The 26,040-nt window shown below is 36.7% G+C and overlaps 1 protein-coding gene across 6 annotated transcripts in view; it reads left to right on the top strand.

Annotated features, from left to right (window-relative positions):
- Positions 1–18,737, top strand: part of BLTP3B (bridge-like lipid transfer protein family member 3B) — a 105,803-nt gene extending 87,066 nt beyond the window's left edge. For 5 of the 6 annotated variants that reach the window (XM_005268739.5, NM_015054.2, XM_047428554.1 and 2 more), the window contains 6 exons: positions 4,588–4,730; positions 5,491–5,641; positions 7,613–7,866; positions 8,171–8,279; positions 16,020–16,213; positions 18,054–18,737. In XM_005268739.5, the coding sequence (XP_005268796.1) occupies positions 4,588–4,730; positions 5,491–5,641; positions 7,613–7,866; positions 8,171–8,279; positions 16,020–16,213; positions 18,054–18,173 (971 nt within the window). In that variant the 3' untranslated portion in view covers positions 18,174–18,737. Of the gene's footprint in view, positions 1–4,587; positions 4,731–5,490; positions 5,642–7,612; positions 7,867–8,170; positions 8,280–16,019; positions 16,214–18,053 lie in introns of those variants that run through there. The other variant, XR_007063059.1, reaches the window with a different exon arrangement.
- Positions 18,738–26,040: the final 7,303 nt, after the last annotated feature.

The raw sequence follows: 26,040 nt of genomic DNA, 5'->3' as shown, positions 1-26,040 counted from the left end.
CTTATTCTTATCCTTCTTTTACAGATAAGGAAACTGAGGCTCCTGAAGTTTAAGTAGTTTTCCCATAGTCACATTATTGTACGCAGAACTGGGATTGTCTTTCTTGTTATTCTTTTTTTTTTTTTTTTTTTGAGATGTAGTTTTTTTCTTGCTGCCCAGGCTGGAGTGTAATGACATGATCTCGGCTCACTGCAACTTCTGCCTCCTGGGTTCAACTGATTATCCTGCCTCAGCCTCCCGAGTAGCTGGGATTACAGGCACCCACCACCACGCCTAGCTAATTTTTGTATTTTTGGTAGAGATGAGGTTTCACCATGATGGCCAGGCAGATCTCAAATTCCTGGCCTCAGGTGATCCTCCCATCTCAGCCTCCCAAAATGCTGGGATTACAGGTATGAGCCAACATGCCTGGCCTCTTGTTTGTTATTCTAAGCTAATATTTACTATACCAGTTACTATTTTAAGCGTCTTACATGTATTTAATCTTCAAATAAATTGAGGTAGGAACTGTTATCTTCATTTTAAAGGTGAGGCAAACAAAGCCTAGGGAGGTAAGCAGCTTGCCCAAAGTTATGCAGCTAGTAAGTAGTAGAGTTTAGCATTTGAACCCAGTTAGTCAGACTTCAAAGTCTGAGCTCTTCTATCTGACACAAACACGTCTTCTTAAAAAAATTTACTCTTTACATAAGTCAGAGAAAAATCTCTCTACTAGATTCCAGTTTACTTTATCTTGGTGGGAGACACTAGTCAGTTTACCTTACATGATAGATGATATTTAATAACAACAATAGCAAACATTTATTAAACCACCCTTAGTCATGTTGCCAAGTGCTATAAAACACATTAATTTATCTAATCCTTAAGACCATCATATGAGGTGGTTATTATTATTGATCACTTTTCTATAGATTTAGAAACTAAAGCTTAAAGAAATAAGGTATCTAGTCCAAAAGTTTTAGCCAGGAAGTAGTAAGAGGCAGAGTTGTCAGCTAGTCTGACTGATGAGCCCAAGTTTTTAACAAGCCGTTAAGCTATTCTAGCTCCCCAGACTTGGGGAATGTGTACCATACATAAACAAAAATTCTCTGTCTAACTCTGTTATAATTCATAGCAATCTTCTTTCCAGCATATCACTTAAATGTAGAAGAGGTACTAATGTGTGTCATGAAAATCTATTCTAGATTCGCAGATAACTCTAGTTCCCCCGTGCCCCCTTTATGATTTAAAATCCTACCTTAATAGAGGATTTTTGTCCTATGATCAAAATATATTTCAAAAACAATGTTCTTCTGGCAGATAACCCTACTTAATCTGAAAGCATCAGTGATTTTATTATTTCTAATAATTAAATAATAAGTAAAAGTGACTACCACTCAATGTGGAAAACTTGGAAAATACAACCACAATTTGGAGAATAAAATCACCAAAAAGTCTCACATTCACAATATATCAACTGTTATTTATTTTATGAATTTGTGTATGTACCCATATATATGTATGTTTGCTGTCATATTATGTATTTGGCTTGTAACCTACTTTTTATCATCTGTAAGTATTCTCTAATATTATTTAAACTCCTTTGAAAATATTTTTAAGCCTATATAAAATTGTCATAAGAATGTACCATAGCCTTTTAAAGATTTCCCTGATGTTGGATGTTTAGATTGTTTATAATTTATCAGTTATAAAAGTGCTATAATTATATTATTGTTCACAAATTTTTGTCTGCATTTTTGATGACTATCTTAGAATAGATTCCAGCAGTAGACTATTTTTAGGATCTTAAAAAGTGTAGACTTTGTGTGTAACATTTTAATGATATACATTCCTGGTTCTTTTGAACAGTGACTTATTTTTATGTCAGGGTCATTAATTTTCATTGGAAGGAGACTCTTGGTATTTTGTTTTGTTTTAATTTTACAAGAAATATATGAGTATTCTCTCATTTAAAAAGGAGAATAAGGGAGATACTAATGTGATATCTTCAATTTTTTACTCTAGGCATTTCCATAAACCAGATAATATGGAAATCCCTAGAGTAAAAATTGAAGTTATCACCTTAGTATCATATCACCCTTACTGTCTCCTTGATATCATTCCCCACTGCAGAAGTAACTACCGTCAACTTTTGGTGTATATGCTTCCAGGCTTTTATCTATGTATTTTTATATACGTGTGTGGGTGTGTCAGATACATACAAAGGTATGTGTATACAAAAAGATATGTATGTGCATGCGTGCATGTATACATATTTGTGAATGTATGTACATATTTATGAACACATATAAACACATAACTGGACTATCAGCCTACCTCTGGTCCCTAACTAGTCTTTCCACATCTCTTCTTATCCATTTGCAGTTCATTCTTTATTCTGTAGCCAAAAAATATATATATTTTTGATACCAAGTCTCACTCTGTTGCCCAGGTTGGAGTGCGGTGGTGTGATTTCAGCTCACTGCAACCTCCGCCTCCTGGGTTCAAGTGATTCTCCTGCCTCCTCAGCCTCCTGAATAGCTGGGATTACAGATGCGTGCCACCACACCCGGCTAATTTTTGTATTTTTAGTCGAGATGGGGTTTTACCATGTTGGCCAGGCTGGTCTCGAACTCCTGACCTCAGATAATCCACCCGCCTCAGCCTCCCAAAGTGCTGGGATTATAGGTGTGAGCCACTGTGCCTGGCCAGGCAAAATACTCTTAAAAAACACAAATTTGGCCGAGCGCAGTGGTTTACACCTGTAATCCCAGCATTTTGGGAGGCCGAGGCGGGTGGATCGCGAAGTCAGGAGATGGAGACCATCCTGGCTAACATGGTGAAACCCCGTCTCTACTAAAAATACAAAAAATTAGCCAGGCATAGTGGCACACGCCTGTAGTCCCAGCTACTCAGGAGGCTGAGGCAGGAGAATCGCTTGAACCCGGGAGGCGGAGGCTGCAGTGAGCAGAGATCGCACCACTGCACTCCAGCCTGGGTGACAGAGCGAGACTCTGTCTTAAAAAAAAAAAAAAAAAAAAACAGAAAAGAAAAAATAACAACAACATAGATTTGATCATGTTGTTTTCCACTGTACTGCTGATAACTTGTAATTGCTTTAAGGCTATTAAGTTAAAATCCTTAACATTACTGACAATGCTCTGTGTGATGTGGCCCCAGCTTACTTTTTCTGATGTTTTCCCATGTGCTCGTTATACTTCAGATGGATCATAGTTTATTTCAGTCTTTATCTCACTTTCTTTACTGTGATAAACTTTTCCATCTCAGTCTGTTGTACCTGTTTCTGGAATGCTCTTTTTCTTTCTGTTTATTTTATTATTTTTAATTTTAATTAGAGTGGTTAAGGATAACTCTTCGCTTTATTTTTCCCACTCATTATTTTATCCACTCAGTGTTTTTCAGAGTGTCTTTTTGCTCTCCTTGCAATTATTCTTTTCCATGTAAATTTTAAAAAAATTTGTTTAGAGGGGGCCAGACACAGTGGCTCACGCCTGTAATCCTAGCACTATGGGAGGCCAAGGCAGGCAGATCACTTGAGGTCAGGAGTTCGAGACCACCCTGGCTAACATAGTGAAACCCCGTCTTTACTAAAAATACAAAAATTAGCCAGGCGTGGTGGCGTGTTCCTGTAATTCCAGATACTCGAGAGGCTGAGGCAGGTGGAGGGTGCAGTGAGCTAAGATCGCACCACTACACTCCAGCCTGGGCAACAGAGTGAGACTCCATCTAAAAAAAAAAAAAAATTTAAAGGGAATCTTTTTTTTTTTTTAGATGGGGTCTCACTCTGTCCTAGAGTGCAATGCAATGGTGTGATCTTGGCTCACCGCAGTCTCTACCTCCCAGGCTCAAGTGGTCCTCTGCCTCAGCCTCCCAAGTAGCTGGGACCACAGGCGAGTGCCACTACGTCTGGCTAATTTTTTGTATTTTTGGTAGAGATGGGATTTTGCTGTGTTGCCCAGGCTGGTCTTGAACTTCTGGGCTCAAGTGATCCTCTCTCCAAAGTGCTGGGATTACAGACGTGAGCCACCACACCCAGGCTTGTTCACTTTAGTGGAAATATTATTTTATCAGAGATGTCTTCTTAACCCCTGATGATGTTAGGAACCCCTTATGAAATGCCTTTATTAGCCCCTCATACCACAAATGTATTCACAGGTATTTTCCCTGGGCCATTTTTTTAATAATGTATTGAGCACCTACCACATTGCCAAGCACTATGTTAGAAGCTGACTACAGAGTAGTAAATACAATAATAAATTGAGACTTATGTTTTGTATGTCTTTAGGTTTTCTTACCTAATTTTTCTATTAATTCATTTTTATGGCATTTTTTAAAAGTATTGATCTGTGATGGCTACTGAATTTTAAAAAAAATTGTCTTTTACCACAGATAGTTTGAGAAATATTGAATTATAGCACATTCATTGTTTGCTAACTAATTACAATCTAATTTTTCTTGGTCCATTTTTTAAAGGAGGCAGTGCTTGAGAAAGAGTTGAAGGGATAGTCCATTTTTGTTAAATAAGCATACAGTGTTAGATCATGTGTAAAACTGACTTTAATTTATTAATTTACTTTTGTGTTATTTCAGGAAATAAAAAGAACTCAACTACAAATTACAGGGGCACAGCAGAAAGTGTGAATGCTGGTGCAAACCTACAGAATTATGGTGAAACTTCTCCAGATGCCATCAGTACAAATTCAGAGGGTGCTCAGGAAAATCATGATGACCTGGTAATAATCATTTCAGAGAGATTCTATGAAGATAAATGCCACCAACTTTATTTCATATTTGACATGTATATATTTTGAGACATTCATATATAAAATGAATTCTTAGATGGTGGGCAATTCAATTTGCAGCTTTTGTTCTTGAAAATGCCTCCCCCCAATCGTTTTTCCTTTGATTTTACTTTTCTAAATTTGTTTTATTCATATTGAGGAGTGGAGGCTCTTTCTTTTTTCTGTATTGCTTTTTGTATTTTTATTTTTATTTTTTTAGAGACAGGGTCTCACTCTGTTGCCCAGGCTGGAGTGCAGAGATGTATCCATAGCCCACTGCAGCCTTGAACTCCTGGGCTTAAGTGATCTTCCTGTCCCAGCCTCCCTAGTAGCTGGGACTATAGGTGCACACCACCACACCTGGCTGTTTTAAATTTTTTTGTAGATATGGGGTCTCACTGTGTTGCCCAAGCTAATGGTTTCTTTTAAGCCCTCCTGATGCAGTGAAATACTTCTGGGAGACTTGAAAAATATATTATGTCTAGCTTTTAATGAAAAACATTTTACAATCCTTGTGACCTAATTTTTTTTTTAAGTAAATGAAAGGTTTTCACTATAATGTAACAACCGTGTTCTGTAGGTCACAAGTATACTTTTGGTCTGGTAGGTCACAATTGTATTTTTAGAGGGTAATGGTAGTTTCCTATATTATTTCTTAAATTTTGTTTTGAACTGCTTGGCATACTAATATTATTTATGCAATCATTAATAGATGTCCGTTGTGGTATTTAAAATTACTGGTGTTAATGGGGAAATTGACATCCGAGGGGAAGATACAGAAATCTGTCTTCAAGTGAACCAGGTGACACCAGACCAATTAGGCAATATCAGCCTTCGGCATTACCTTTGTAATCGTCCAGTTGGTAAGTTTTTTTTTTTAATTATTTTTCATATACAATGGTTTAATATGTTTTAACTTTTATATATGTCTCACCAGCAATCCTATCTTGGCTATAATTGAATTCAAGGAAAATTACATTTACTTATTATTAGTAGTTAGTGGTTTTTTCTATAGTGTGTGGAGCTTCAATAGGAAGACATAGCTTAATGGTTCCATGGTATAAGGGGTAGTAGAGAGGAGTGATTTTGATGAAGAAAATTTTTGTTTTGTTTTATTTCGTCTCCAAAAAACTCATTTTGTTTGAAATTATTCCTGGCTTTACTCCATGGGATGAGAATGTGTGTGTGTGTAGACCTAGACAGATAAAAAGGCAAAATAAAATCACATTAATCAAGTTGTTTGTTGGCAAGTTCTCTTGTTCAGCAAGTTCACTCTTGTTTTTCTTGCTATGGGAAAGAACACTAACCATTACCAATTTGTGGCTGTTTCTTTTACCTTCTATTTTAAAAAATAAAAATATTTGAATTTTGAAATATTTAAATAATTCTTTGGAGTTAGATTTGAACTCTTGCATTATTTTCTGGAATGTTAATAAGTAGTAATAACACTAATTAAATATAATTCTGTACCTGGAATACAAGATTCAAGAGCAATTCTCCACCTGGAATTGTGAATGGAGACCTATCCTTGGTGTAAATAAATACACACATCTTTAATTTCTTGCAAATCTCTCCCTTTCACACACATGCATATATTTGACCTGTTTAAGACTAGTCACACCCATGCTGAAGAAAAATAAAATACCTTCTCATTATGAATTTTTAAAACTCCATCATGAATTGATATAGCAGTCTTCTTATGAGGACCTGTGGGATAAATAACTTTCATACCTCAGAAACTGAAACAGCTTCGCCTTTCCAGGACGAGTTTGTTTTTATCTTAAAGGTTATATGAGTTGCAAAACTGATCATATTTTTATCTTTTTTGCTAGGGAGCTCATTTTTGGTCCACCTTTTGGTATAGGAATTTAAATAATGCATTTTGGGTTATTAATCTTACCAACTACTTTTCCCCTTTTCCCTTCCATCCTTACTTTTTTCCATGTCTCCTCATTTTTTATCAGATTATACCATGTGCATATTGCCTCTTACCCATTTTGGAACCAATTAGCATAAAACAAATAAGCAAAATGGTTACCCTGAGTGTGAGTTTACAAGTAATTTACTTCAGGGGTTTCACTAGGAACTTTTGTTTTTTAAGTTAGATATTCTATTATTGGAATTTTAAAATTTGTTTTTAAACTATGTGTTTATACCTCTCTAGGCCATCTATAAATTTTTTGGGGGGACAGGGTCCAGGCATAAGTAAATGTAATTTTACACACACACACACACACACACACACACACACACACACACTCACTCTCACTCTCTCTCTCTCTCTCTCTCTCTCTCCCCCCCCTTACTATAATTTCAGTTTTTGGTTTGCCTTCTAAAGAAACAATTTAATGAGGTCTTTTCTGTTTACTTTTCCATTATTTGAGGACCCAATTTAATGAGGTTATTTAAGGACCCAATTTAATGAGGAAGGTGCAAAACCTCAGGCTTTTGTTACTTCTTGAGAAATGGCTTAAGAGTCACTTTAAATGTCTGACTTATTTCTGCTTCACAGCCAACATTTGAATGTATAGTTAGGTACACAATCAAACACACACTAAGTATCTGAGGCATGTATCACACCTTAGTTCTATCATAATGTGTTTTTCTTGTTATCAAAAAAACAGAAAATACAGAAAAATCAACATTATTGTAGTAGAAAGTTGCCATAAAATATTGAAATTAGTGTGTGTACGTATATTGTATATGTACTATAGAGTATCATTTAAACTAGGGGGAAATAGTAAAACTAGTATTATTTTAATGTACTACATGGCACATAATTGTAATATTATTGAATAATGCTACAAACATTTTTGTATGTTCATTTTCCTTAGGTTCCGATCAGAAAGCTGTAATTCATTCCAAATCCTCTCCTGAGATTTCTCTGAGATTTGAAAGTGGGCCTGGTGCTGTAATACACTCTTTACTTGCAGAAAAAAATGGATTTCTGCAGTGCCACATAGAAAACTTCAGCACTGAGTTTCTTACATCTTCTCTTATGAATATTCAACATTTTTTGGAAGATGAAACTGTTGCAACAGTAATGCCAATGAAGATACAAGTTTCTAACACGAAAATAAATTTAAAAGTATGTTAATAAATAATTTTATATTTTCATGTTCCTTTTCCTTATCTGGACTTTCATTCATGTCTAAGAATGTGCCTTCTCTATAAAATATATTCTATCAGCATTTATTAAAATGATTTTGTCTTTTTTGGTAAATGATGTAGAGATCTTTTTTGGAAATTAGGAAATATATAACAGGCAAAATATAACAGGCAGTTTTCTCGCTATATCAGCTGAAACATATAAAGATACATGTGTTATCTTTAACTCATTAAAAATATGACCGAATGAAGTAACATGTCAATGTTATTTTTCTTTCCTGTAGGATGATAGTCCCCGGAGTAGTACAGTATCCCTTGAACCAGCTCCTGTAACTGTACATATTGATCATCTTGTGGTAGAGAGAAGTGACGATGGCTCTTTTCATATCAGAGGTATATATGAAAAACTATTTGTTTATTTATGAGATGGAATTTTGCTCTTGTTGCCCAGGCTTGAGTGCAATGGCACGATCTCAGCCTACTGCAAACCTCTGCCTCCCTGGTTCGAGTGATTCTCCTACCTAAACCTCCCGAGTAGCTGGGATTACAGGTGCCTGTCAACACGCCCAGTTAATTTTTGTATTTTTAGTAGAGATGGGGTTTCACCATGTTGGCCAGGCTGGTCTCAAACTCCTGACTTCAGGTTATCTACCCACCTCAGCCTCCTAAAGTGCTGGGATTACAGGTGCGAGCCACCTCGCCCAGCCGATGAAAACCCATTTAAATGAACACCTACTCAAATTTCGAAGTTAAATTGTTTACCTACTGATTGTTTCTTTTCACTTATTATATTTCTTATATGTATATACATATGTAGTAGTGGAAGATTGAGGGACACCTTCAGTACATTGTAATAAAGTATCATCTATATATGTACTGGCCTCTACCCTGGAAAAAACCTCATATATAGTTGGTTTAGTACCTGTTGTACAAATGTGTTTTGAATGTTGTAGAAAGTGAGAGAGGCCTTTGATCTTGCTTGTGTCTCTCAGTTGATCTCTTTCTTAGCTTTATTTCCTACTTATACTCCTTATAATGGTACTTACCTTGCACTTCTCTGCACTTTGCACGTCTCTACGTTCTTATTTGCCTTGTTATTTCTCATTGGAATTGCTCATCATTATGTGGATTTTATTCATCCTTCCATTGTTCTCTCAACTGTCTTCTTTATAGTGACACTTCCTTTTTATTATTATTATTATACTTTAAGTTCTAGGGTACATGTACCCAACGTCCAGGTTTTTTACATAGGTATACATGTGCCATGTTGGTTTGCTGCACCCATCAACTCATCATTTACATTAGGTATTTCTCCTAACCCTATCCCTCCCCCCAGCCCCCACCTCCCAACAGGCCCTGGTATATGATGTTCCCCTCACTGTGGCCATGTGTTCTCATTGTTCAACTCCCACTTATGAGTGAGAACATGCGGTATACAGTTTTCTGTCCTTGCGGTAGTTTGCTCAGAATGATTGTTTCCAGCTTCATCCATGTCCCTGCAAAGGACATGAAGTCACCCTTTTTTATGGCTGCATAGTATTCCATGGTGTATATGTGCCACATTTTCTTTATCCAGTCTATTATTAATGGACATTTGGGTTGGTTCCAAGTCTTTGCTATTGTGAATAGTGCTGCAATAAACGTATGTGTGCATATATCTTTATAGTAGCATGATTTATAATCCTTTGGGTATATAGCCAGTAATGGGATTGCTGGGTCAAATGGTAATTCTAGTTCTAGATCCTTGAGGAATCGCCACACTGTCTTCCACAGCGGTTGAGCTAATTTACACTCCCACCAACAGTGTAAAAGTTTTCCTATTTCTCCACATCCTCTCCAGCATCTGTTGTTCCCTGACTTTTTAATGATCACCATTCTAACTGACGTGAGATGGTATCTCATTGTGGTTTTGATTTGCATTTCTGTGATGACCAGTGATGATGTGCATTTTTTCATATGTCTGTTGGCTGCATAAATGTCTTTTGAGAAGTGTCTGTTCATATCCTTTGCCCACTTTTTAATGGGGTTGTTTGATTTTTTCTTGTAAATTTGTTTAAGTTCTTTGTAGATTCTCGATATTAACCCTTTGTCAGATGAGTAGACTGCAAAAATTTTCTCCCATTCTGTAGGTTGCCTGTTCACTCTGATGATAGTTTATTTTGCTGTGCAGAAGCTCTTTAGTTTAATTAGATCCCATTTGTCAATTTTGGCTTTTGTTGCTATTGCTTTTGGTGTTTTAGTCATGAAGTCTTTGCCCATGCCTATGTTCTGAATGGTATTGCCTAGGTTTTCTAATCGGGTTTTTATGATTTTAGGTTTTACATTTAAGTCTTTAATCCATCTTCAGTTAATTTTTGTGTAAGGGGTAAGGAAGGGATCCAGTTTCAGCTTTCTACATATGGCTAGCCAGTTTTCCCAGCACCATTTATTAAATAGGGAATCCTTTCCCTATTGCTTGTTTTTGTCAGGTTTGTCAAAGATCAGATGGTTGTAGATGTGTGGTGTTATTTGTCAGGCCTCTGTTATGTTCCACTGATCTATGTATCTGTTTTGGTTACTGTAGCATTGTAGTATAGTTTGAAGTCAGATAGCGTGATGCCTCCAGCTTTGTTCTTTTGGCTTAGGATTGTCTTGGCTATGTGGGCTCTTTTTTGGTTCCATATGAAATTTCAAGTAGTTTTTTCCAGTTCTGTGAAGAAAGTCAGTGGTAGCTTGATGGGGATAGCATTGAATCTATAAATTAACTTGGGCAGTATGGCCATTTTCACGATATTGATTCTTCCTACCCATGAGCATGGAATATTCTTCCATTTGTTTGTGTCCTCTTTTATTTAATTGAGCAGTGGTTTGTAGTTCTCCTTGAAGAGGTCCCTCACTTCCCTTGTAAGTTGGATTCCTAGGTATTTTATTCTCTTTGTAGTAATTGTGAATGAGAGTTCACTCATGATTTGGCTCTCTGTTTGTCTGTTAATGGTGTATAGGAATGCTTGTGATTTTTGCACATTTATTTTGTATCCTGAGGCTTTGCTGAAGTTGCTTATCAGCTTAAGGAGATTTTGGGCTGAGATGGTGGGGTTTTCTAAACATATAATCATATCATCTGCAAACAGAGACAATTTGGCTTCCTGTTTTCCTAATTGAATACCCTTTATTTCTTTGTCTTGCCTGATTGCCCTGGCCAGAACTTCCAATGCTGTGTTGAATAGGAATGATGAGAGAGGGCATCCTTGTATAGTGACACTTTTTTATAATCTGATGTGAGTTCTTCCACTTCTTTTGGCACTTTTCTGTACGTTAGTTACTTTCGGTGTATTGCCTGTGTACTTAGTTCACCTTTAATGTTTGCATCTCCACTCTAACAAAAGTTTTAAGGTCGCTAATGTAAGGTCTGTGTCTTTTAAGGTAGTGAGTAGTGGAAAGAGCATGAGTCAGTAGATTTATATCTTCTGGGCTTCACTATTTTAGTAGCCAGTTGAGGGAATGACATGTGCATCTGTTTCATCTCCTATCAAAAACCTCATGAAATGACAGAAAATGTGTCAACTGAAGAATAAAGTCATTAACAGTGCTACAGAAGAAAGGACAGGACAATTTCAGATATAGGAACAGTTAGTGGGAGCCTTCTAAAGAGTCTTTTCCTCTGTAGTTTGGGAACAACTGGAGACAGACATAGGAGAAAGGCCAACAAAGATCAAAATGGTAGCTTCATTACTGATAATAGCTCAGGTGAAGAGGATAGCTTAGGTCTGTGAGAAGACTCTGCCCAGCCCTCTTTCCCAAATGTGTTAGCTCCCAAAAATTCAGGTCTGTCTTATTAAAAAAAACAAAACAAAACAAAACAAACAAACAGAAAAGAATGCACCCTCTTGGCAGGAGTTACAGCATATACCAAAGCAAGAGACTGAACCACATATATATAGTTCTTTAAAAAAAAGTCAATCAGATAAATCATACCTTCTTCCCTGGGAAGCAGTGAGAAACAGGACCAAAAGAATCCAAGAGGACTGCATGACTGAAGTTCCTCCTCAAAAATAGGAGGAATCTCCCCAACAAGATACTGAGGTTAGAATTAGCCCCTGAGGCAACAGCATGAATAATATGGGCATTCCTTTTTGGGATCCTCCCCTGTGCCTGTGCCCAGTAGTAGACTTCAGTAGGGTTTGCATATAGACTAAAATATTGAGGGTAGATTATGCAGCTGCTAAGCCCCCAGGAAGGGAATGATTCCCTATCTAGTTAACAAACTTGGTGTATCTCACCCAGAAGAGCAAGCTTTCCTTTCCCACAGTCACTAGAGGTCAGCTATGGCAAATAGAAACAGCATTTATAGGCAAGAAAATGGGATAAACATGAACAAGAAAATAGGAAAATACAAGACATTCAACAATTCTGAAACATTTGAAAATAACAGTACTAATCAGCTTTTATAATTATAAGCTAGAAATGCTCTCTAGCTGATTGAGTAGAAAAGGAGCTTGGCAAAAGATAATTGGAATGAATTGAATTGAGAGTTCAGAGATAAACTCTTACATTCATTGATCTTTGGCAAGGCTGGCAAAACAAGTCAATGAGGGAAAGAATAGCGTTTTCACAAGTGGTGATGGAATGACTAGATAGCCACATGAAGGAAGCTGAACTTCTTCCTTATGCAGGCATACTTTAAATATATTGCTGATTGGGTTCCAGACCACCACAATAAAGTGAGTATCACAGTAAAGCAAGTCATAAAAATTTTTCAGTTTACCAGTGCATATGAAAGTCATGTTTACACTATTATTATGTCTAAAAAATGTACATAGCTTAATTTAAAAATACTTGATTGCTGGCTGGGCGTGGTGGCTCACGCCTGTAATCTCAGCACTTTGGGAGGCTGAGGCAGATGGATCACCTAAGGTCGAGAGTTCAAGACCAGCCTGGCCAACATGGTGAAACCCTTGTCTGTTAAAAATACAAAAATTAGCTGGGTGTCTTGGCGCACATCTGTAATCCGAGCTACCCTGGAGGCTGAGGCAGGAGAATTGCTTGAATCCAGGAGGCGGAGGTTGCAGTGAGCCAAGATCGTGCCACTGCACTCCAGCCTGAACAACAGAGCAAGAATCCATCTCAAAAAACAAACAAACTTGATTGCTAAAAAATGCTAATGATTATCTAAACCTTCAGTGAGTCATAATCTTTTTGCTCACGCCTCAAGGTTGATGGCTGCTGACTGATGACAGCCATGGTTGTTGAAGGTTGGGGTGGCTATGGCAATTTCTTAAGACAACAGTGTTCAACTTTTCTGTTTTCTTGCCTGTGCTTTGGATGTCCTGTATAAGAGTCCATGGCCAAATCTGAGGTCATGATGATTTTCTCATGTTTTCTTTTAAGAATTTTATAGAATTAGCCGTTAAATTTAGCTCTTTAACTCAAATGTTCAATTTGAGTATGGGTAAGGATTAAAGACACATGGGTTTATTTCTGGATTCTCAATTCTATTCTACTTGTCTGTATGTCTGTCTTTGATACTACCACACTGTCTTGATTACCAACTTCCTTTAGAGTAAGTTTTAAAATTGGAACATGTGAGTCGTCCAACTTTATTGTACCTTTTCAAGATTTTTTTTTGACTCTTTTGGGTCCCTTGCAATTCCATATGAATTTTAAAATCAGCTTGATAATTTCTACAAAGAAGCCAGCTCAACTTATAATTTCTACAAAGACGCCAGCTCAACTTCTGATAGGGATTGTGTTAAAGCTGTAGATAAATTTGGGGAGTATTTCCATTAAATCTTCCAATCCATGAACAGTGGGAATTTTTTCCATCTATTTAGATCTATTTATTTCTTTCAACGATGTTTTATAGTTTTCAGAGTATAGTAAGTTTTGTGCTTCTTTTGTTAAGTTTATTTGTATTCTTTTTGACAGTATTTTAAATCGAATTGTTTTCTTTCATTTGTGGATTCTTTATTACACATTATAGAAATGTAGTTTATTTTTGTATATTGATTTTTATCCTGCAACCTCACTGAACTTGATTATTTCCAGTAGGTTTTTAGTTGTTTCCTTAGTTTTTTTCTATACGCAAGATCATGTTTAGTAGAGAGAATTTTACTTCTTCCTTTCCAATCTGAATGTCTTCTATTGTTTTTCTTGCCCAGTTGCCCAGGTTAGAACCTCTAAAACAATGTTGAATAGAAGTGACAATAGCAGGCCGGGCGCGGTGGCTCACGCCTGTAATCCCAGAACTTTGGGAAGCCGAGGCGGGTGGATCACCAGGTCAAGAGATTGAGACCATCCTGGCCAACATGGTGAAACCCCATCTCTACTAAAAATGCAAAAATTAGCTGGGTGTGGTAGTGTCCACCTGTAGTCCCAGCTACTCGGGAGGCTGAGGCAGGAGAATCACTTGAACCCAGGAGGCGGTGGTTGCAATGAGCCGAGATTGTGCCACCGCACTCCAGCCTGGCGACAGAGTGAGACTCCGTCTCAAAAAAAAAAAAAAAAAAAAAAAAAAGTAACAATAGCAGACAGCCTTGTCTGGTTTCTGATTCTGGCCAACAGGAAAAGAGTCTAGTCTTTCACCACTAAGTATCATATTAGATGTGGGATGTTTATACATGATGACCTTTTATTAGACTGAGGAAGTTCCCTTCTATTTCTAACTTGGTGAGTGTTTTTATCATGGAAAGGTATTGGATTTTGTCAGATGCTTTTTCTGCATCTATTGAGATGATCATGTGGCTTTTGCCTTTTATTCTGTTGATGTATTACATTAGTTACTTTTTGGATGATAGATACATTTGCATTCCTGGGATAAATCCCAGTTGACCATGCTTTATAGTTATGTTTGTATGTTGCTGGGTTCAGTTTACTAACATTTTGTTGATGATTATGTCTATATTCTTCAGCATATTGGTCTTAGTGTTCTTGTGGGGTTTTTTTGTTTGTTTTGTCTAGATTTGATATCAGGGTAATACTGCCTTCATAGAAAGTTTGGGAATGCTCCTTTTGTTTTTTGGAAGAGTTTTTAAAGATTTGATATTATTCTTTAAATGTTTGATAAAATTCTCCAGTGAAGCCACCTGGGCCTGGGCTTTTCTTTGTGGGTAGTTTTATGATTACTGATTCAGTCTCTCTCAGCTATAGGTCTATTGACATTGTCTTCTTGAGGCTATTTAGGTAGTTATTGTCTTTTTAAGAATTTGTCTGTTTCATCTAAGTTACATAGTTTTTTTTTGTTGTTGTTGTTGTTGTTTTTGAGACGGAGTCTCGCTCTGTCGCCCAGGCTGGAGTGCAGTGGTGAGATCTCAGCTCACTGCAACCTCCGCCTCCTGGGTTCAAGGGATTCTTCTGCCTCAGCCTCCAGGCTGCCTTCTGCCAGGCTACAGGTGTGCACCATCATGCCTGGTTAATTTTTGTATCTTTAGTAGAGATGGGGTTTCACATGTTGGCCAGGCTGGTCTCAAACTCCTGACCTCAGGTGATCCACCCGTCTTGGCCTCCCAAAGTGCTGGGATTATAGGTATGAGCCACTGTGCCAGGCTTAAGTTACATAGTTTTTTGTATTTTTTATTTTTATAGAGACAGGTCTTGCTACATTGCTCAGGCTGGTCTCCAACTCCTGGTCTCAAGCAGTTCTCCCAGCTAGGCCTCCCAAAGTGCTGGGATTACAGACATGAGCCACTGTGCCTGCCCTAAGTTATCTAATTATTGACATACTGTTGTTTATAGTATTCCTTTATAGTGTTTTATTTCTGTAAGGTTGGTAGTAATGTCACGTCTTTCGTTTCTGATTCTAGTAATTTCTTTTTCTTGGTCAGTCTAACTAAAAGTTTATTAGTTAATCTAATAATAAGCCTTTAAATTAAATCTATTAAATCGAATAAACCTTTAATATAAAAACATAATAAATTATGTAATTAACTTAGATGAAGTTGACAAATTCTTGGGAAGAATTCTTAGGAAGAAAAGTTTATTTAGTTGATCTTTTCAGAGAATAAGCTTTTGGTTTTACTGGTTGTTCTATCTCATACTACTATCCTCATAACTAATATATATAGATATTTAGTTTTAAATTAGATTTTCACAATGGAACTTTTAAAGATTTATCAAGTATTTGGAAATGTTATCTGAGCATGTTATTTGTTTGATCAGATTCTCACATGCTTAACACTGGAAATGATTTGAAAGAAAATGTCAAAAGCGATTCAGTGCTGCTGACCAGTGGAAAGTATGATCTGAAGAAACAACGCAGTGTCACGCAAGCCACTCAGACAAGCCCAGGGGTTCCTTGGCCTTCTCAGTCAGCTAACTTTCCTGAGTTCTCCTTTGACTTCACTAGGGAACAGGTAATGGGAAACCTAATTCAGATTCAGCTTCAGCAATTAAATAACTAGGTATTAAGATACTAATAGTTAAAACATTGTTTACTTATTTTAATAAAATGTACCGAGTGCTTGTTATTGTGCCCAGGTGCTTTGCTAGGTGCTATGGTTAGAGTGTTGAGCAAAAAATAAAGAAAAATTTAATACCTTCTGCCTTCCTCCAGTGCTATCTCAGTATTTTTGTGATTTTTCCTTGTAGATTTTTTATTTGAAAAAATTAATATTCAAGTGTACATACTATATAATTTTACTTAATTGTTTAACAAAATTTTTTCATATTGCTGTATTTGCTTAATTTTTTTTAATGGCTTAGTAATATGGTTTTGGGTATGCTATCATTTCTGAAACTTCTATAAACATTTATTAACATTCAAGTTGCTTTTGATTTTTTTTTTTTGCCATTATAAAGAAACAAAATGTTCAGCAGAGTTTTAATCTGTATGATAGAACCATAGAATGAGTTAATGCATCTGTTCAATGAGGATTTATTCAATGTCAGCTCTGAGCTAGGGATATAGAATTCAGCAGTAGATGATCCGTGACTATTGAAGAACTCAAAGTCTAGTGGGACAAGAGTGTTCAATTGGTAGTCACAACGTACTGTGTCAGATGCTATACTACAGATGAAGAGAAGTATAGGAAACTACCTCACTTGGTCGATAAGGCAAGAATTCTTAAGCTAGATTTAGAAGAAGTTTGAGAACTATTTGAAATTAACTGCATATATTTTAATGTATCTATGTGACGCAGAAAGTTCTTAGTTTTATATCCCCGTACTTAGGAATGGCTATATTTGCTCTAATATATTTGCTCTAATATAGCCATTCCTAATTATGAGGGAATGGCTCTAAGAGGATAAAATACTTGAACTAAGTCTTAAAAGGGTGGTGGAGGAGACGTATTGGCCATCTAGATGAAAATGTCTGTAGGGCGCTGTGGCTCATGCCTGTAATCCCAGCACTTTGGGAGGCCAAGGCGGGCAGATCACCTGAGGTCGCGAGTTCGAGACCAGCTTGACCAACATGGAGAAACCCCATCTCTACTAAAAATATAAAAATTAGCTGGGCATGGTGGCGCATGCTTGTAATCCCAGCTACTCAGGAGGCTGAGGCAAGAGAATCACTTGAACCCGGGAGGTGGAGGCTGCAGTGAGCTGAGATTGCGCCATTGTATTCCAGCCTGGGCAACAAGAGCGAAATTCCATCTCAAAAAAAAAGAAAATGTCTGATGACACATTCAGAATTTGAGTCTGGAGCTCAGGAGAGAGGTTTGTGCTAGGTGAGTCTATGATAGTTGGAGCCATGAGAGATAAGATCATCCAAGAAAGTGACTCAATACAAGAGAAGACGACCGAGCAATGGAACTAACAGAATGTCAAATTTTAAGAGTTCTTAAAAAGTAGAAGAAAAGATGAAAAGGGCATACATAGGTTGAAATGGATAAATATGAAACAGCTGTGGCATAAAAGCCAGAAAAAGGAGAGAGGCTGAGAAAGTAGGTGTAGCTCAGCAATGTCTAAAGCCATAGAGAGGTCCAGGAAAATTCATATGAAATGAAGTCACTATTAGACTAGGAAATTAGGAGTTAGTATTTTGTATTGCTGGGTCAAAACATGGGAACATTTTTTAAGTGCTTGATACATGTTTCCAAATGTTGTCTCAAAGCAGTTTTCAGCTTAAGTGCACTCTCACCAGCAATGGGCATTTTTACTATCCCAAGTGTCATACCTTTGGATACTATATAAATAGTCTGTATTTCCTGAAATGATTAAATTATCTTATCCCCCCGCCATTTATCATTTCAGCTCATGGAAGAGAATGAATCTCTTAAACAGGAACTGGCTAAAGCTAAAATGGCTCTTGCAGAGGCTCACTTGGAAAAAGATGCTCTTCTTCATCATATAAAGAAGATGACAGTTGAATAGCAGGAGTGGCAGTCAAAACTGAAATTATAGCTCTGGAGTAGGAAGGTTATATTTATAATGTGGATGTTACCAGTTAGGGGAAGACTTTTATTTTCATGAAAAGACAATAAAACAAAATGGAATGTGATGAAGTGGTGACTATTTCAAAGCCAGTTTAGAAAGTATTAGTACGGGCATTACAATCTTTTGGTTGTTTTGTGTTTTGGGGCTTAACCCTCTTTTAAGCTGTTGTGATCTAGGGAAGTCAACACATAGTGTAAAATAATTACATGCCTAATGAAAAGAAGATGTCATTTCCTAATTTTGATATCTCATTTTCGGCATTTTTTAAAATGTAAAAGGAAAACCTCTTGTGTTCACACAGATTGCTGAATTGATTTCTCCATATTTGTTAATAATTTACTATTATTTACAAAGATTCAAATGCTTTTATGACTAATGTAAAATGAAAAGAGGCTTACATTTTAAATGTTATTAAAATTATGTACTTAAATCTATAATTATTTAATTATTGTAAAAAGTCCAAGCAGATCAATAAACTATATAATTAATGGGTTTGGAAAATCATCACCCTACTGAACTTACAAAATATCTTGAAAATGTGAAAAATATCATTTTAAATAATGGGTACATTGTATAAGTGGAAGCTATAATTTTCAACAAAAAGATGGTACAAATGTAAAAGTAAAAAGCACAAACTATACAAAAGCAAAATCTATGGCCAAGTGATTTAAAAGCATTACTTGTACATTCCTTTAAACATTTGTTGTTAGAAGCAAAAGAGTAATTTATCCTGCTAAATTTGGCACCATTTGTAATTATAAAAATTTTGATTAATACTATTTATATTAATTTCTTTACCTTCATTTTTTCTCCTTAAGGAGTTGATTGTTTTTGGAAATGTTTTTTTCCTTGCACATAAGACAGTTTCATACCATTCTTATAGAATCATATTAGGTGGGTGTTTGCACATACTAAATTTATAAAGCTAGTTTTGATTAAAGCTCTATGTGAGATATATATACATACACAAGTCTTCTATAATAAGAGTCGTTGGTGAATTTTGAATTCTATTTTGTTAGGAATTAAGGTTGAAATCAACATGAAAGAATCTCAATCATGCATTATAAAATAAAAGTACATGGGTGTTAAGAAACAAGAGACTTTTAAAGATTTAAAATATATTTCTGATAGAATTTAACTAAGTGGTGTGTATTTTAAAATTCACATTCTTAAACATAAATCTATCCAAGATAGAAAATGAAATAGCTGGACTACTCTTTCTTTAAGATACTTGAAAATTTTAAACCACATTGCAACACTTTATGGTGCTTTGCGTGTTTGGCATGACATACACAGTGGTCCTGGTATATAAGTGCTTGGGGGAAAATACATATTTTGTTTACATTAAATTTTGAAGTGATTTAGGCTTTATTGAAAACAATACTGGCCTTCCCTCCCCTTCTCTAACATCCATTTTCATTTACGTTATTTAAAATATACAGGCACTGTTTTGGGTACAGAGGATATAGCCAAGAGCAAATTGATAGTAGTTTACCTCAGAGTATTAAAAAAATCATAATAAGTCATGTTAATCTAAAACTATATAATAGCCTTAGATTAAATGTGCAGATGTCTAATTAAAGATTTAAAATGTATAGCGTATGTCCTTAGAACATTTGATTTTTAGGTATACATTCGGCAAAAACAGTCTGTTATGGAAAAGAAGGATTGATGGGACATTAACTTCTTCCGAGCTAACATTGTTTCTGAAGATTGACCTATTCTATATAAATTTAAATTTTTCTATGTTTTTCTTTTTTTTTTTGCGATGAGGTTTCGCTCTTGTTGCCCAGGCTGGAGTACAATGGTGTGATCTTAGCTCACCGCAACCTCCGCCTCGTGGGTTCAAATGATTCTCCTGTCTCAGCCTCCTGAGTAACTGGGGTTACAAGCGCCCACCACTACGCCCAGCTAATTTTTGGTATTTTTAGTAGACACAGGGTTTCACCATGTTGGCCAGGCTGGTCTTCAACTCCTAACCCCAGGTGATCCGCCCACCTCGGCCTCCCAAAGTGCTGGGATTACAGGCGTGAGCCACCGTACCCGGCCTCTATCGTATATTATAATTGCTTATTGTTATAGAAGCTGAATGTTTTACTTACTACTTTTAAATTTATTTGGTCTTCCCAAGGAAATCATACAAACGGTAGAGATTATGATAATCTGAGCATTCTGTGTGCTTAGTTTGATTTTTTTATTTATAAGCAGTACTATTTTTATAGATGTTTAAAATTCATAAAACACTGTATTCTGAGAGGTAGGTATTATTCAAATGTTAGAAATTTTTTTTAAAAAAATGCCCTGAGGCTTAGAAAGGACAAATGACTGAAATCACAATTAGTAATCTGGTCTTTAGACTTAAAGCCTAGTTATATGCTTTTATTATAGCTTAGTCATTAATTCACACATTTTCCCTTATCTTTTTTATCTTTTAAAGGTGACCATAAAACTTTAAATTGTGTGTGTACGTCTATGTATGAGGTATATGTTACCCTGTTTGTGTTATTCAAACTACCTAAAAGATAGGATGATTTTTGTTTAAGTGAATCCCAAACTAGCAGTCTGAGAAATACAGGAAAGCCTGATAATTGACTTACCAGAGTTGGCTTTTTTTTTTTAAGTTACCATAATTTAGATATAAAGTTGTCATGTCCTGGAATTTAAAAAAGAAATCTCTAGCTGAGAGATGTTAATGGTCAGGAGTTGAAAATGACAATTGTGCTTTGCTTTTTATTTTTATTTTTTGTTTACTTTTGAGTTTTTTGGAGTTTTTTTCCTATATTTTTAATTGAGAAGTAAAAATTATATATTTATGGTGTACAACACGATGTGATACATGTATACCTTGTGGAATGGCTAAATCAAGCTGTCTAACATGTTACCTCACAAACTTTTTTTGTAGCGAGAACACTTAAAATTTTGTAACAATTTTCAAGTATACAGCATATTGTTATTAACTGTAATCACGTGATATACAGTAGATCTCTTGAACTTATATTTACTAACTGCAATTTCGTGTCCTTTTACAAACATCTCCCCATTTCCCCATCCCCCAGCCTCTGATAACCAGAATTTTACTCTCCATCCCATGAAGTTGACTTTTTTTGCACTCCGTAAGTGAGATCATCTAGAATTTTGGCATGTCTTTCTGTGCCTGGCTTATTTCACTTAACACAGTGGTCCCCTGTGTAGCTGGGACCACAGGCGTGTGCCACTACACCCAGGTTTATCCATGTTGTCAGAAATGACAGGATTTCCTTTTTTTAAAAGTTGAATGGTATTCTCTTATGTATATTTTCCACATTTGCTTTTTCCATTCATCCATTGATGGACAGTTAAATTGATTCCATATCTTGGCTATTGAGTAATGCTGCAGTGAACATGGGATTGCAGATATCTCTTCCACATACTGATTTCGTTTCCTTTGAACATATACCAAATAGTGGGATTGGTGGATAATATGGTAGTTCTATTTTTTAATGTTTTGAGGACCCTCCATACTGTTTTCCATAATGGCTATAATAATTTACATTGCCACCAACAGTGTACAAAGCTTTTCTTTCCTTTTCTCTGCATCCTCTCCAACACTTCCCTTTTGTCTTCTTGATAATAGTCATTCTAACGGGTATGATTACAGTAGCTTTGTAGTGGGTTTTCTGTGCTGTGCTTTTTAATTTCATGTATGTAAAAAACATTGGGTATTTTGAATGTTTTTCTTTTCTCACCTTATCCTAGAACTTGAGGCTGGGCGCGGTGGCTCATCCCTGTAATCTCAGCACTTTGGGAGGCCAAATTGGGCAGATCACTTGAGGTCAGGAGTTCGAGACCAGCCTGGCCAACATGGTGAAACCCCATTTCTACTAAAAATACAAAAATTAGCCAGGCGTGGTGGTGCACGCCTGTAGTCCCAGCCAATCAGTAGGCTGAGGCACGAGAATCGCTTGAACCCAGGAGGCCAAGGCTGCAGTGAGCCACGATTGCACCACTGCACTCTAACCTGAGCAACACAGACTCCATCTCAAAAAAAAAAAAAAAAAAGAACTTGGAAATGCCCCCATATATACTAGTTGTGATGAAGCATTATTTTTAGTTAAGTCATATAAGAATGACTGTGTATGACCAAAGGCAAATATATGTGGAAGAAACTCACCAGGAATTCTTTTGTGGGTTTTTATTCAATACATGTCAGTAGGGGAGTTATACCCCCTTTTTAATAAGTTTGTGTTAACCTACAGTCTAACCAAGGCATCTTATCCCAGTGAATGCCACCACCATTCACCCTGGTTCCCAAACTGGTAACATAGAAATAATCTTGACATATCTTCCTATCACTTTGTCATCAAGTCCTGTCATTTTTACCTTGTAAACATCTCTTAAATGTGTCTACTTCTCACCACACCCTAATCTAAGCTACCATCAGCACCTTTTGCCTGCATGACTGCAGTTGTCTCCTAACTGTTCTTCCTGCAGCGACTCTGGCCCTCCCTGTATTCACTCGACTGCAAGCAGAATTCTCCTTTTTGTTCGAAGTTCAATTTTAATCAAGACAACCCACCTACCTGCACTTGCACCCCTAGCTTAAAATGCTCGAATGGCTTTTTATTGTCCTTAATGATGAAAAGGAAATATTTTATGTGACCAAATATATTTGACCTATGAGGTCAGATATATTAGGGCCACTATCTAAAGCATAGTTCCAAGCATTAAAATAGTTACTGTCTCAGATTAAAACAGTGGCTGGCACATCACCTCAATAGAGGTTACCTATTCTTGTTGCCACTTAGCCTCATATGTACCATGTTTTACTTAATACCTTCATTGTCCTTTAAGTATTCGGAATGAGAATTACAGTGCTTCATTCAGCATAAGACTTTTGTTCATGCTGTTTCTTTGGCCTGAAATATCTATCCCTTCCCAATTGCCTAATTAATTCCTATTTGTCTTTCAGATCTTAGCTAGTTCATCACTTCCTCAGGGAAACATTCCCTAATTTCTGTCACAGAGTAAGACCCGTTGTTATACGTCTCACCTGACCATGTACCTCTACTTAGCATTTAACACGTGTAATTTTGTATGTATTGGTTTGATTAATGTCAGAACCACTAGATTGTAAACTCCATGAGGACCGGAATTTTGTTTCTGTCATTGTCATTGTTCAACTTTGTATTTTTTATGCCTCATACAGTGCCTGGCACATAGTAGGTGCTCAATTAACTTTATTGAAAGAATAAAATGAATGGATGAGGTATCAAGGATGTTTTTCAGATATCAAATTCTTCCTTTCAGTTTGATTGAAGGGAGATGAAACACAGAAAACTAGTTGCTGGTAGTTATTAAAAGGGGGGCAAACTTCTTGAATCCAAAGGAGAAAAAAAGATGGGAGGGTGGAATGGGAATATTTGCCATACTGTGGGCTTCTGGATTTTGAATATGTGAACTTACAGTTGATTTATCACAAAACAAAATTAGCATATCACTTAATGGTACTACAATGCCAGAATGTCATCTGGCTTTGATTGTAACATATGATGTGGCTGTTGCGATCTGCCAATATTCTCAGCTAAACAGATGGAAGTAAGTCCAAAAGAGTAGTGGGTGAAGTAGTTTCTCCTTGGGAAATTGACTAATACTCAGAATTAATTTCAGCTGTGCCTAATTCCTTACGGTCCAAACAATCTCCTTTTAGTCTGTACTTTGAAGTGCTATAGAAAGTAAATTTTGTTTCAATTTTCCTTTTAGAATATATAAATACCAAAAGGTAGAGATACACAGTATGTAGAAGCAGTAGTGTTTTTAAAATGCAAATTTCATTAAATTATAATACTTGATTTTTTTTTTTTTTGAGACAGGATCTTGCTCTGTCACCCAGGCTGGAGTGTAGTGGCACAATCATAACTCACTGTAGCTTCCAGCTTCCAGCTCAAGCAATCCTCCCCCGTCAGCGTCCCATGTAGCTGGGCCTACAGGTGTGTGCCACCACACCCAGCTATTTTTTTTTTTCTTTGTAGAGATGGAGTCTCACTCTGTTGCCCAAGCTGGTCTTGAACCCCTGCCTCCCAAAATGGTGGGATTTCAGGCATAAGCCACCATGCCCAGCCAATACTTGATACTTTTTTTTTTGTTTGTTAGGTGGAGTCTTGCTCTGTCACCCAGGCTGGAGTACAATGGCACAGTCTCGGCTCACTGCAACCTTTGCCTCCCAGGTTCAAGCAGTTCTCCTGCCTCAGCCTCCCAAGTAGCTGGGACTACAGGTGCACGCCACCACACCCAGCTCATTTTTTTTTTGTATTTTTAGGCGAGAGGGTTTCACCATGTTGGCCAGGCTGGTTTTGAACTTCTGACCTCAGGTGATCCGCCTGCCTCAGCCTCCCAAAGTACTAGGATTACAGGCGTGAGCCACCACTCCCAGCCACTTAATACATTTTTAATTTTTGGGTTCTTAAGATCGATTTTTTGAGATGTAAAAAATGAAAGCGTGAAACAATGTAAGCATGATGATTTTTTATAAACCATTAGATGTTAGACAATAATTGTAAATTTTAAAGAAATTCATGTGAATGTTAAAATACTGAAATTTAGCATATATGTTGTCAACAGTATTGTTACAATCTTAGCAGGTTTGAGAATTTGAAACCTTTTAGGGAAGCATATTAAAAAATACAAACTCAATGTTTTTCCTGCTATATATATAGTATTATAAATTATGCACAATAAATTTTTGGTCCCAGAAAAAACACATCACTTAATAAAAATAGTAATCTGGGTTTTTTTTTAATTCTGAAATCATTTAGACAGAAAGGTAATATTATATAACTTATAAGTTAGTTTTTATTTTCAACATGCTGTCATTAACAAAAAAATTTGTTATTTACAAACTATACTATTTGAATGGTAAGTGAAATTTCTTGTATTATTTTAAAATTTATTGGTTAATTTATTGACCCAGTTTACCTGAATTTCTCATATTAATTCTTCATTGTGTTTAGGAATACTTGAGCATTATGAAGGATAGGAAAGTATATAGCGAAGTGATGAACCTTTCTTGCAACCATTCAGCAGAAGCATTTTGATTTATATGACAAGAACTCAAATACTCAAAATGTCATCAAGAATGATAATTTTTTTGAAGAAAAATAGACATGCAAATAAATGTTTAAGAAAAAGATGGCCAGGCATGGTTGTTCACACCTGTAATCCCAGCACTTTGGGAGGCTGAGGCGGGTGGATCACTTGAGGTCAGGAGTTCATGACCAGCCTGGCCAACATGGTGAAACCCCGTCTCTACTAAAAATACAAAAATTAGCCGGTCATGGTGGTGCTCATCTGTAGTCCCCGCTACTTGGGAGGTTGAGGCAGGAGAATTGCTTGAACCTGGGAGGCAGAGGCTGCAGTGAGCCAAGGTCGCACCACTGCACTCCAGCCTGGGCGACACAGCGAGACTCTGTCTCAAAAAAAAAAAAGAAAAAAAAAATCAGAAGTGTCTAGGCCGGCACGGTGGCTCACACCTGTAATCACAGCACTTTGGGAAGTCGAGGCAGGTGGATCATTTGAGGTGAGGAGTGTGAGACCAGCCTGGTCAACATGGTGAAACCCTGTCTCTACTAAAAATACAAAAAAATGAGCTGGGCGTGGTGGCACACACCTGTAATCCCAGCTACTTGGGAGGCTGAAGCACGAGAATTGCTTGAACCTGGGAGGCAGAGGTTGCAGTGAGCTGAGATCATGCCACTGCACTCTAGCCTAGGTGACAGAGTGAGAAGTTGTCTCAAAAAAAAAAAAAAGTATCACTGAAGGATATGGGTAA

This window comes from Homo sapiens, chromosome 12, assembly GCF_000001405.40.
Source record: "Homo sapiens chromosome 12, GRCh38.p14 Primary Assembly".
NCBI classification, from domain to species: domain Eukaryota; kingdom Metazoa; phylum Chordata; class Mammalia; order Primates; family Hominidae; genus Homo; species Homo sapiens.
Note: the sequence above shows the minus strand (reverse complement) of the source record. Positions and strands in the feature narration are given on the sequence as shown.